Source organism: Homo sapiens, chromosome 2 (assembly GCF_000001405.40).
Source record: "Homo sapiens chromosome 2, GRCh38.p14 Primary Assembly".
Classification (NCBI taxonomy): Eukaryota; Metazoa; Chordata; class Mammalia; order Primates; family Hominidae; genus Homo; species Homo sapiens.
In genome coordinates, this window is record NC_000002.12 from 160200950 (window position 1) to 160214443 (window position 13494).

A 13494-nucleotide genomic window follows, 5' to 3' on the forward strand; every position below is an offset into this window, starting at 1 on the left:
CATAGGAGATATTTATTTGTTGAGTGAAAGAGTGACAATTCAAAATATATATGATCTATGGCTAAATCCATGAGGTTTTTTGTATTTTTCCCCCAGGGTGTTCTTCAGGAAGGTGTTTTGAGATTTGTAGAGTCTGTGAACAGATAAGAATCGAATTCTCACTTCGTCACTCTAGAAACTGCTGACCTTAGAGAGACTTTTCTGTGGCCAGGCTTATGTCTGAGGAGATTATCTTTTCAAGGAGCATTCCTGGGTAAGCATGTGAAACCTGTAAACAGAGGGAAACGGACTATGGTCAATAATAATTTAATTCTACATTTAAAAATAACTAAAAGACTATAAATGGGTTGTTTGTAACACAAAGGAGAAATGCTTGAGGGGATGGATACCCCACTTTCCATGAGGTGTTTATTACACATTGCATGCCTGTACCAAAACATCTCATGTATCCCATAAATATATACACCGACTATATACCCACAAAAATAAAAACTAAAATAAAATAATTAAAAAAAAAAAACCAAAGAAAGAGAGAAACTAATTATAGACTACCTAGGCTTTTCTCAGAAGCCTATGTTATGTTCAATTTTGAACTCCATCATATCCAAGAAGCTGGAAAAACATGGCAAGAATTTTGCGGTAACAATCCAGAATTATTGAAGAATTGGAAGATATGCATTTTGAGAGAAAATTTATATAAAATTAGTTGATTTAACTTGAAGAAGAAAGATCGAGCCACAAATTGTTTGTGTCTCTGTTATTGTCATTTTAAAAATCCAGTATTAACTATTATTCATTCATTATTCATTCATTCAACAAGTACTTCTTGGGCATTTACTTTCTGTCAAATATTATTTTTGAAGCAGAGGCTACATCAGTGAACACAACCAAGTTTTTGATCCATGCAGCATATATTCTAGGCTGGAGGGCAGTGCAGGGAGATAGACTTCTAAAATCAGGCAGTGCCCAGGGCTATGAATCATAAGTCTGGGTAAAAGGAAAGAGGGGCAAGGGAGTGTGTGATTTTCTTTAGAATAGTCAGGGAGGGTTTCCCTGACCAACTGGCATCTGAGAGAGCCCTAGATGACTTTGACAACACAGCTAACTATGAAGGCCTGAGACAGCCCAATGGCAGGTGTTTTCAAGGGCAAGTGGAATACAAGAAGGGAGAGAGAGAGGGTAATCAGATTTGAGGGCAGAGGTCAGATCATATGTAGTCTTGACCTTGAATTTTATTCTATACCTTGTGTATCACTGGAAAGTTGAAAGTAGAGAAATAATACTATTTAATTTACATTTTAGAAGAACCACACTGGCTGCTGAGGAAGTGAAAATGTATGCGGCAAGATTGGAAGGTGAATGGGGCAAGAGAGGAATGCATGTCTCTGTCAAGAACAGAGATAATCGTGGCTGGGACTAGGATGTTTGTGGTGCAGGAGGAGGGGGTGATCAGATTCAAGATCTATTTTGAAACTGGACTGTGCTGATAGATTGGATGTGAACATGAAAGAAAGAGGTTTCTGTCTGGCATAGATACATTGTACTGGCTGAGTGATACATTTTACTGAGAGGGATTACATTGAGGAAGAATCAGGTTTCATGTGGAGGATGAGGATCAAGAACATGGTAAGTTTGAGATGGCTAGAAGATAACCAAGTGAAGATGCCACATAGGCAGGTTTGATATCTAGGTCTGGAAATGTGGGCAATGTCAAAGAGCAAACTGTAAATTTGGGATTATCAGCATGGGTTTAAAGATATGAGGCTGATGGTGTTCAGAGATATGTGGCTGAATGAGATCCCTCCAGGAAGCGAATGTATATAGGGAAGAGCTCTGAGGACTGAGCCCTGGGGCCTCTAGATATCTGTAGATCAAGAGGAGAAGGATTTAGTAAAGGAAGCTTCTATCTAAAGAACACTTCATCTTGCTAAAGAGGAACCTGTCTTTGTTGGAAGACAAATTCAAGTGTCTCTCACATTTCTGCACATCTTACAAGCAGAGGACCTGGCTGCCTTTTTTCTAGACTCTCTTTTCCAGGATGTTTATAAAGTGAACGGCCTTTGAAAATACAGACAGTGTCCCTCTTTAGGGAAAAGGAAAAATTGCTTACAGCTTTGGAAGATAGAGACAGTGTCAACCTGCAGAACAAAGAGTAGGCCTGTTTACTGCCCATTATAAAAGGTTCAGTTTCCCTAAACTCAAAGTTCTTCTCTTATAACACATCTTACTACATGTGCAGGAGTCACCTCTTTCTTTTGTGTCATCTTGTGGGAAATGGTATTGGGGAACTGTGAAAGAATGTGCTGACACTCTGACCACTGCAATTGCTGTGAATTAAAAAGTTCTTAAAAAAAAAAAATAATTAAAAAGTTCTTTTTCTGTGATGCAGGCATCGCATGTCTCCATCAGTACCCACAAATCCATGACAAGCTAACTTGTCAGCTTGCAAGTCAGGTAAAAGCCCAGGCCCTTCATAGTTCTTGACAATTTCCCACACAAAATCCACCTTTGTCTGGAGACTGAACATGCAACTTTCAAACCTCACTTTGGAAGAAAAGATCTTACATCCTACAAAACTGCCTTGGACTGACAAGTGCTGCCCTGGGCTCCAGAGGTTTCCCCAGGTCTTGAGTTGCCTGTCTGCCCATAGACCTCCCTGGCAGCCGCTAGCAGGCACTCTAGAGGAGCTGGATCGGGGTGGCTGCCCAGCTCTGGATATGCCAATCCCTGGAAACTCTCCATGGTTCTAGCTGCCACCAACAATCTCTCCTTCCTGAGAACACAGTTAGACTACCTCTCCTGGCCTGTTTTGCAGCTAAGAAAATCCCAACAACCAGCTCTTGCCAACAGAATACGAGTGGAAGTGGTACATACCCCTTCTAGATCATCCTCATGTCCCTCTGACAACCAGATGCAGGCAGCAACAAGGTCCTAGAACTCTAAAACCACAATTTGACCATGTATTTAAATGGACTTGTGCCATCCCACATAAAGACTTCCATCTCAGTCCTAGAATCATAATCACACTGATTGATTTATTCTCTGTCCCCCATGGCTGCCCCTCCAGTGCACACCCTCCCTAATTTTCAGGCCTTCACACAAACCATTTGTTCTTCCTGCAGGCCTTGGGTTGCCTCTCATGCCTCTCACTTGGCTAATTCAGCTTGCCCTCCAGGTCTCAGTGTAAACATTAGTGTCTGCAGGAAACACTTTTTGGTTTCTCTAGGCCTCCCCTCCTGTGGACATTCCCCAGAATAGCCATTTTTGCTCTGCTTGTAATTGTCAAAATAGTTGCCTTTACTCAACAAATATTTATTCAATTCTTGCTATGTATCAGACAGCGACTGTGTCTCAGGAATCTTTCTATTCCTAGCAAGTAACACAATGCCTGGCACTTTGTAAGTAGTCAATTAATGTTTATATTGAGAATATGGGTGAATTTTAAGTCTTCATTGTCTAGTATTTCACCAGTTACAAAGCAGGTACTTCATGGATATTGAGTAAACAGATGAGTAAATGAAAGAATGGTTTAGGAAGGTAAATAATACAATTAGGAAAGGGAAAATGTGTTCCCTGCTTGGGTTGTGCCGAAAGCTGAGAAAAAGCTTAAAATGCAACGTAAAGAAAAGGCAGGGGGGAATTTGAGACAATATAAAGTATAATAATGTTATGAAAGAATATCTATCCACTCTGTTTGCACCTTGGGACTGCTGGCTAATTTGTACCAAGGGGCAAGACACCGGGAAGACATAGCCTTGCTTCCTAAGGAGGGTGCCTGGTGTCCTCTTTTGGAAAGTACCACATCCACCCTGCTGTGGAGGGTGGCGGCCCTGCCTGTCCCATGAGCTGTCAATCCATGAGATGCCAGCATCCTGTAAAGTCCCCAGATGAAAACTGTGTCTCCTTAGCCAAGCCAAATGGATTACTTACCTCTGTTTCTATGTATGTAGAATCTGAAATGGGAAATACAAATGGAAAATCAGGAGTTTGGTAATGGGAGGTGAGGCTGGCAGGATGTATGGAGAGAGCACATAAGGTTGGAGGGAATGAGGTGCTTCCAGAGTCAATGTTAGGAGGACTCGGCAGCTACATAGAGGCAGAAGCCCAAGGCAGAAGAAAGCTACATGGGGTGGGAGATGAGAGGACCAATATGCAATCAGCAAAGAAAGGCCTTCAGCCACACAAACTGAAGAGTGCTAGAGTCAGATCTACAAACTCACTCTGCCGGGGGGAAGGAGCACGGCCCAGGCCTAGAGCTGCCGTGGATCCCAAATGCCTGTCCAGTTTGGATCTCTGGGAGGCCTGGCTCTTAGCTTTCCCCAGGATCCCGTCTCTTTTAAAGCAATGTGTATTCTTACAGCAAATTCCCATTACTTGTGGGTGGTTGAGAGGATCTTACATTCTTTAACATCCAAAGGTTCTGTCATACCATCCACATTTTCAGACAGGTTGGTCAGATTCATTAGATGGAATCCTACCATCCGGATTGCTCAGAACCCCAGCCTAGGGGGCTGTGACTCCATGTGGGAGTCTGAACCTCCTCAAGGGGCCTCAGCTAAGCAGCAAGGGGGTGGAGAGAGCAGCTCAGAGCTCAGGGACACAGAGCTTCTGCACTCCGCCCCTCTGCTGGTCCTGACTTCGGAGACTTAGAAATGGGCTGTCCTCAGCGGTGCTCTGACTTCAGGAAGCCAGTGAACCGGTGTCTGAGTCACTGCAGTTAGCTTGAGTCTCTCCCAGACCCAGCCATTCATCCACATCAAATAAAGACAGTCCAGGCCCCAGCTGGGCCTGCCCCGGGGCACCTCACAACACTCCTGGGAGAGGAAATCCTGAGTCAACCTGGCTGGGAACCAACTGGAAACCAGGGACTTTAGTCATGGCTGTCTGCTCTTGGGCGGGCCTTGCTGTGCTACCTGCTTCATCTGAAGTACCGGTGACAAGTCTTCCACCTCCAGGTGTCTTTCTGTGAAAACGTTTCATTGCGAGTAGCTAAAAGAAGGCAAGGTAAATGGCTGCTTTGTCTCTGGGTCTCACTCTGAGGTAGCTCCAAAGCCTTGCACAGTGGGTTGTTTGCAGAATTCTGTGGCTGACTTGTGGTTGTACATAACAGGGGGAGCAAGCAACCTGGAAGTAGATACAGTTGTTCCTTTTTTTGTGACCTTCAGAAAGATTCCCTTAAAGAAGACTTTCCTGTCATCCTTGTTCACAATGCCCACAGGATGCTAAGTGCTAAAGAAATGTTTTGTGGCCTAGGCCTTACATTCTAGGCTGGAGTTTCCTTTTTTGTTTATTTTGGTAAAATTTACATAACATAAAATGTAGCATTTTAACCATTTTTAAGTATATGATTTGGTGGCATTAAGAGCATTCACACTGTTGTGCCATCCTCACCACTGACCATCTCCAGAACTTTTTCATCAGCCCAAACTGAAACTCTTCACCCATTAAACAATAACTGTCCATTTCCCCTCCACCAACCCCCAGCACCCAGCATTCTACTTTCTGTCTCCATGAGTCTGACTACTCCAGGTGCATCACATAAGTGGAAACATATTTGTCCTTTTGTGGGAATGGCCTATTTCATGTTAGCATAATGTCTTTAGGGTTCATCCATGTAGTGGTATGTGTCAGCATTTCCTTCCTTTTAAAGGCTGAATAATATTCCGCTGTATGGATATACCACATTTTGATGGCTTAATCATCTGTCAATGGATGTGCTGTTTCCAGCTTTTGGCCCTTGTGAAGAGTACTGCGATGAACATTGGCATAGGGATATCCATTTGAGTCCGGCACTTACTTTTTAAAGCCATCATGATGCCCATAATGGGAGGAAGCTGAGTGTAGTGGGAAGAGTTTGGTTTTGGACGTAGGGAGTCCTGGGTTCAAAATTGCAGTCCTGCCAGGTCCTCCTGTCTATCTGTGGGGAGAGTGTTTATCTCTGAACACTTTACTTTTGAGACTATGAAAAAGGGATAATATCCACCTTTCAGTAATATGGCGAAGATTTCATTACACCATTTTGGGATGAGTCCAGGTTTTGTGGGGCCTAAAGATTATACCTTTTGGGAGGCCTTCTTTAAGAAAAGAAATGCAGGCCAGATGTGGTGGCTCACACCTGTAATCCCAGCACTTTGGGAGGCCAAGGCAGGTGGATCATTTGAGGTCAGGAATTCGAGACTAGCCTGGCCAACATGGTGAATCCCCATCTCTACAAAAAATACAAAAATTAGTCAGGCATGGTGGCACGTGCCTATTGTCCCAGCTACTTGGGAGGCTGAGGCAGGAGAACTACTCGAACCCAGGAGCAGAGGTTGAAGTGAGCCAAGATTGCACCACTGCACTCCAGCCTGGGCAACAGAGCGAGATCTCTCAAAAAAAAAAAAAAGAAATGCAAAACTGGAAATAAATCATGTGTGAAAGTGTATATTTATTTCAAATCAGGGGGGAAAACCCATGACAACAGATTACTGAAAGCTTGAAAATTCCAGTCTCTTTGTTTCTTAACATCACCTCAGGCACTTCACCAGAAATGCTTTCTAAAAAACGCTTCCCGATGGTAATCTGGCTTCCATCCCACCTGGAGCCACCCGCAGCTCCCAGATACTCCCAGGCACCTGTGCACACTGGAGCCTAGGTTGAAGCTCTCTCAGTTTCCTGTAAACCCTCCTTTGGTTTCACTTGGGATGCATGTTTATTGTTGCTCATTTTAGTGAGAACTTACCAAGTGCCCGGCATCATTCAATATTGTATTAGGGTAGCCCTATTTTGTTCTCACAAGGCCCCAATAAAATGGGGACTATTCTATTTTCATTTACCAGATAAGGAAACTGAGGCATGGAAAAGTTACACAACTTTCCCTCACTGCTCAGAAAACAGGGCCCTGGAGACAGATCGCTACCCTCCCACCTGAGTTCAGAATCACCCTGCAAACCGCCTCCTGGTAGATAAGAGATGTACAAAGAATCATCAAAAAGATGCCAACAAGAAGTGAAATTCCACGAGGAACTTGAAAAATATGTTCGCCTGTCTATCTCAGGGCTCTGGTTCCAGCTCTAGCTCTGTGTCTAGTGATTTCCTTTTGGGTTTGTTTGTTGCTTATCCTGTAGATCATTGGCTGCCAAAAATGAGACAAAGATGTGGTCCTGGATTGTACCATCTTTCTCTGCTTTAAAGTCAGTACAAATCACTTAAAAACAAAATGAAACAAAACATGTTGCCTGGCCCTTCAGGGGAAGCTGAGCCTGCTGGTCAGGAGCCAGGGCCTGGCATTGAGTCCAGGAGAGCACGACTGTGGGCATTTCCTGTGGTCGGGAGATGACTCAGGATGAACTCCGGCCTCTGAGCCACAGGCAGCCCCGGCACTTCACAGTTACCACCCACACCCCACCCTACTCTGGAGCCTGGCAGTCACACTGCCAGCTACAGGGAGCCTGTCCTGTGAGTTAGGCCTGCTCCAGAGGCCCATGCAGTCAGGGTTCAGAAATTATATTGAAGTCTAAAAGAATTGAACTCTTTCTGTCTTTTAGTTTGTGGAATAAATCCAAAGACGAGATTTTCCAGAAAAATACCATTGGATGTGAATTTATTCTGAATTGACTCTGAGAACTAGACTCGTTAGGCCCCTTTTTCCTATCTGTGAAACAAATAGCAAGACGTCACATGAACAAACACTGATTGCCGAGTGGTTCACTCATTCACAGCTTGCAGAGCTGCTGAGCCTTCTTTTTTCATTTACTCATTTATTGCTTCAGCAGCCGCCTGTGGAGACCCCACAATGGACCAGGCACTGTTCTGAGAGCACAGTGTTGATTAAAACCGACAGGGTCTCTGCCTCATGGAGCTTACATTCCAGTGGGAGAGACAGACAAGAAACACACGAACAAATAAAGATGTCAGATGGTAACAAATGCTGAGAAAAATAAAGGATGGCAAGGGGTCAGAGAGTGGCCAAGGTGGGGTGGCCAGCAAAGCCTCTCTGCTCAGGTGGTGTTTAGGCATAGCCTTGGGGAAAGGAGGGAGGGCATCGCAGGGCTCTCTGGAGGACAAGCAGTCCTGCCTGTGGGAAGAGCAAGTGCAAGGTCCTGGTACGGGATGGTTTGTGGACAAGCAAGGTGGCGAGCGAGGCTGAAGCAGAGTGAGTAGGTGAACTCAAGGAGTCCAGAGGAGATGAGCCAGACAGGCAAAGGGAAGAGGGCAGCTCATGAAGGAGGGGTGGGTTCGGGGGGGCGATGGTCAGGGCTCCAGATTTGTATTCTGAGTGAGAAGGGAAGCTTTTATGGAGTTTTGGTTGGACATGATGTAGCTTATAAGGTGGCAAGTATGCACAGACTATAAGACGATAAGGATGGAAGCTGGGGGGCCTTATTGCAGGCTGTTTCAGCAGAGATTATGACAGCTTGGTCTATGGTGGGAGTAAAGGAGGAAGTGAGAAGTGTTTGGATTCTGGATATATTTCCAAGATAGACATGATTTACAAACAGATTCCTCATAGGGAGGGAGAGAAATCAAGGGATCAACGATGACTCTAGCAGTTATTGAGGCCCTGAATCAATAACCCCACCATCACCACCAGGGTTCTCCAGCTGTTTCAGAGAGAGAATACCATCTGCTCATCAGCAGAGTCATCGGGAGCTCTAATCTGCTCTAACAACTTGGAGGGTCATGAGGAGTCATAACTCTGCAAAAAGCATTCCATGGTAGAACCAGAAAGGTCTGAACTATGCAGGCCAGTGCTGTATGGAGACTGTTTGTATGCTGTGTTAACATTCCTTCAGTCCAGTGGAGGTCTGATTAGCCAGCATCTTCTGTTCTGGAATTCCCCATGACTTTTTGGTTGCAAAAGAAAACCTGGAAAATCCCTGTGGTCCTCTAGTTCTCTCTAGCTGTGCTGATAGACTAATTGGGGTTAGTTTCAGTAACAAAAGTCTCCCCTAACAGAATAAAAAAATACTCCTCTTAAGAAGGCAGAAGAGATGGGTATATTTTCTTTTAAAAACTCCTTGGAAAGTGGAAGGACTTCAAACTTCTTTTGACCTTAAAGATGCAATTTATTCAGCTGCAACAATAGGGAAAGTTCTAATCCTTTAAAAAGCTGGGAGAAATGGTGGCCAGTAATTATTATCTTTTTATTGTTGTTTTTTTAGACAAGGCCTCACTCTATCACTGGGCTAGAGTGCAGTGGCATAATCCTAGCCTCACTACAGCCTTAAACTTTGGGGCTCAAGCGATCCTCCCACCTCAGTCTCCTAAGTAGCTGGGCACATGCCACCATGCCAAACTAATTAAAAAAATTTTTTATAAAGATGGAGGTCTTACTTTGTTGCCCAGGCTGGCCTAAAACTCTAGATCTCAAGTGATCCTCTTGCCTCAGCCAGTGATCATGTTTGAGGCACATCCTTGGGTGGGTCCGTGGAGGATTTATTACTTTTAACTGCCATTTTATGGAATTTTCTGATTGTTTCAGATGCATACTCAGTGAATCCTGTCAGTAAGTTTTCAGGGAATCAAATAGAGTAAAGGATTGGGTATGAGGTGAACACCCTAATCGTTAAAAAGGCTAAACAATAAATTATTCTAACAAGCTAATCAAAATGGCATTAACCTGGTGATGTCTCAAGACTTGGAAGTGGAGAAAGAAGAAAAGCCTTTAAAGCAAATTCAGCTGGCCTCTAATTAAAGACGGTGTGTCAGATTTTTACACCACAACAGACGTAACGAATCTATATATTGTTGGGCATAATTACTTCCAGACAAAAAGCGGCTCCGGTGAGCAGTCAGGTGTGAGGCTTGTTTGGGGAAGTATGAAAACCACCTGCCTGGGCTGCAATCTCTGTTGCGTCCTGACTACTCTGGCTGGAACTTTGCTGCTCCTGAGCCCAGGGCCCTTTCCTGGCACCCCCTAGCGGTTGAGGGTGTAACAACCGAGGCATGATGAAGCGAGAGGCTCACAGTAGTTTCAACATTTATTAAAGGAAGGAAATGAATCATTTTCTTTATATCAAGGAGTTCGATGTTTTAAAGTTTCAATCAAAACACAAATAGGAAAGTTTTTTGATAAAAGACAATTGCTGTTAGTTGCAAATATTGGGGGAGGGGCAAACATTCCCTATGCGTTGATGAAATTAAGTTATCTTGGACACCAATAGAGTAAGGCTCAGCAGCATGGAAAAGGCAGTTGTCAGCCCTGGTCTCAGTCCAGACCTTGGTGGATTGATTATTGGACATTTGTGGCATGGTATAGATTGGTCTTGAAATTGTTTAGGCCCTATTAGGCAACCAAAGATTAGGAAGACAGGATTTAAACGTTAACCAACAGAAGGATTTATTTTTATGAATGTTGCTGGAGGAGGAGCACAGCTTCCTAAAATGTGATCTGAAGTGAGCTGTTAATCCTTGCCCTGATAATGAAATGCTCCTGCAGTTTATTTAATATAGACTATTAAATCTTCCATCAGAAACTCACAATGTGCATTATAACCTATTAAACACTTCAAGAAGCCCCACAGGGAAGAAAATTGTTTACTTTTGTTTAACAATTAAACAAAAAACTATTTTCATTATCCTATGATAATATTGTAGTCAGATTTCTTAGGAAAAGGCGGGTGTGAATTCATGTGTTTACTGCTGCCTTTTTTGTGCATTCTGCAATTCAAAGATCTTTCAAGATGGGTTTTCCAGGAGACGATTCATTTTCCCAGGAAAGCCCAGAGAGGAGGTCCATTTTGATAATAGTTCAGATAAAACACTTGCAATAGTGATGGCTCATTATAAATTTCTGGACTCAGACCCAGCCTTATAACCTAGTATAGTTAACCTAGTGACTATAGCCCAGATACTACAGTTTTATTACTGAATGACGTAGACTGGTTTTCTTTGCGAAATGAATTTCGAATACGGCTATCTATTGTTTTCCTGTATCTTCTGGGCAGAGGATCCCAGTTGCTGCTTGCATCTGCCCTTGGTCTCTTTCTTTTTGGTACAATAGCCTGTCCTCAAGCTGTCATCTGCCTGTCTGTCCATCTACCCATCTTACTTGCAGAAGGTCCAGAAGAGTAGCTCCGTTAAGGAAACAGCATTCTCTTCCTAAGGTAGGAAGCATCTCTTCAGGTGAGAAAGTGTGCAGCATTTTTTCCAAACTTGGATTTTCTGCTGCTTTCTTATGATGCAGGCATCAGGCAAGGTGGGAGCAATCTGAATGAGTTTGGCTCTCTTCTGTTGACACCGTCATTCTTAAAATGACCAGTTTTATCAAGAGTGTGCTTCTTTCATTGTTGCAGTAATCTGAATGAATGTATATGTATATATATGGTCATTTGTCCACCTCCTGGGGTCAAAATAGTATATAAGAGTCACTGCAATTCATTCTGCTTGGTTTTCTAAGGAAAAAGTAAAATATGATGTAGGTGTTTTAAAAATGGAATCCAGTAGCAGATAGGAAACAAAAAGGAGATATATTTGCAATTTGTGAGTCTTTCTCTTTTTTTCCATTTTTCTCAGATAAACAAGGTAGATCTTGTTTGCATGAGCTACATGCAATTACAGTAGTAGTCAGAGTCACAGTTTGAAAAGATCTAAAAACCAAGAAACACTGAGGCATGAAACAAAGTTTAGTTACTACATTGGCTTTACTTAGCTTTGGAATGAGTCAAAATTACAGTTATAATAACATTTTCAGACAACCTTACTCTAAATATGTCACATCATCTCACTTAAAAAAATGATTTAGCCTGTTTCATGGAACATTGCAAGTACGAATTCCTTGTTCCTGATAACAGCCCTAAAACAATAATAGCGAACAATGTCTCTTATAATATGCCAAACACTGTTATAAATCTTTATCACAATGTGAGGTGAGGTACTGATATTTTCCCCATTTAAATAATAATATGTAATTTAATATTTTAGAAGAGTTTTAGATTAGTACAATTTCTATATATCCCATAGCCAGCCGTCCCTATTATTAATATCTTATGTGAGTATGGTACATTTGTTACAATTTTTTTTTGAGACAGAGTCTCACTCTGTCGCCCAGGCTGGAGTGCCGTCTTGGCTCACTGCAACCTCTGCCTCCTGGATTCAAGTGATTCTCCTGCCTCAGCCTCCCGAGTAGCTGGGATTACAGGCATGTGCCACCACACCTGGCTAATTTTTGTATTTTTAGTAGGGGCGGGGTTTCACCATATTGGCAAGGCTGGTCTCGAACTTCTGACCTCAGGTGATCTGCCTGCCTTGGCCTCCCAGAGTGCTGGGATTACAGGTGAGAGTCACCGCACCTAGCCCATTTGTTACAATTAATAAACAAATATTAATACATTATTATTATCTAAAGTCCATACTTTTTTTCAGACTTCCTTAGTTTTTACCAAATGTCTTTTTTTCTGCTCAAGGCTCCTCTTGAATTCTCCCCATTTTACAGAAGAAAAAGAAAATGACTCAGGTTAAATAACTTGGTCGCAGTCTCATAGGCACTAAGCGGAAAAGTTGGCCTCAAATCCAGGCAGTCTGATGGTAGGCAGGTGGTTAACCTTAATACTAAACTATCGTTACCTTAATAGTGTTATTCAACTTGAATGACTGATTTGTCCAGGCAGCAGAGCAGCAGGGTAGTGTGCACACCTTACCCAGGGGGCTCCGCTGGTAGTCAGGGACTGGCCAGAGTCACATGGGCAGTTTTCAGTACTAGAACTAGAACAACAGCTCCGATTCTCAGAGCGTTGGGTGGCCTAAAACAACATAAATCAATTTTCTGACACACGGTTCAGGGAACCAGAAGCCTGAAAGCAAGCTGTCTGGAGGCTCTGAGGGAGAAGGGGTTCCCTCCCCCTCCCTAGCTTCCGGGGGCTGCCGGCACTTATTGGCATCCCTAGACTCGTAGATGCATCATTTCGATGCCTCGTCTTCACATCTTCTCCTCTGGCGTTCTCCTTCTCTGTGTCTTTTCCTCTTCTTATAAGGACACTTGTCTTCGGATTTAGGACCTACCCAAAAAATCTGGGATTATCTCATCTCAAGATCCTTTACTTAATTACATCTACAAAGACGCTTCTTCAAATAAGATTCCATCCACAGGTTCTGGGAAGGTGAACCTATATTTTGGATGCAGTCGTCATTCAATCCACTACAGGGGCTAGAAGTGCTCAAAGGGTTGTTGTGAGGATAAAATTAAATAGAATTACATGTGGTACTTGCAACAGTAGGCATGTTTTTTAAAATGACAGCCATTTTTATGATTACTCTTTTCTACAATATGAGTCCTCCTGATGCAAAAGTTTCCAAAATGCAATAAATTCGTTCATCCATGCCCAGTTTATACGACTATTATTCATTTTAATAATTGCTTTATATTACAGTTTGTAGTTTCTAAGTTTCTAACACTTGGTCCTGCCAGGAACTTCACAAGGCTGTGTGAATTCAGCCTCTTTTTTCCCTTTTCTTGGTGGCCTAGGTAGTGGTGAGCTGGGGGGCACCTTCGGTCCACACTTTCAGCTAACAACA

The 13494-nt window shown here is 43.0% G+C and overlaps 3 annotated features.

Annotated features, from left to right (window-relative positions):
- Nucleotides 8620-8709: an enhancer, noted in NCBI's record as "active region_16698". NCBI's record gives its function as "activates an Ori minimal core promoter by ATAC-STARR-seq in GM12878 lymphoblastoid cells {active_cell/tissue: GM12878}" and the evidence as "EXISTENCE:reporter gene assay evidence [ECO:0000049][PMID:35858748]".
- Nucleotides 8850-8919: an enhancer, noted in NCBI's record as "active region_16699". NCBI's record gives its function as "activates an Ori minimal core promoter by ATAC-STARR-seq in GM12878 lymphoblastoid cells {active_cell/tissue: GM12878}" and the evidence as "EXISTENCE:reporter gene assay evidence [ECO:0000049][PMID:35858748]".
- Nucleotides 9570-9619: an enhancer, noted in NCBI's record as "active region_16700". NCBI's record gives its function as "activates an Ori minimal core promoter by ATAC-STARR-seq in GM12878 lymphoblastoid cells {active_cell/tissue: GM12878}" and the evidence as "EXISTENCE:reporter gene assay evidence [ECO:0000049][PMID:35858748]".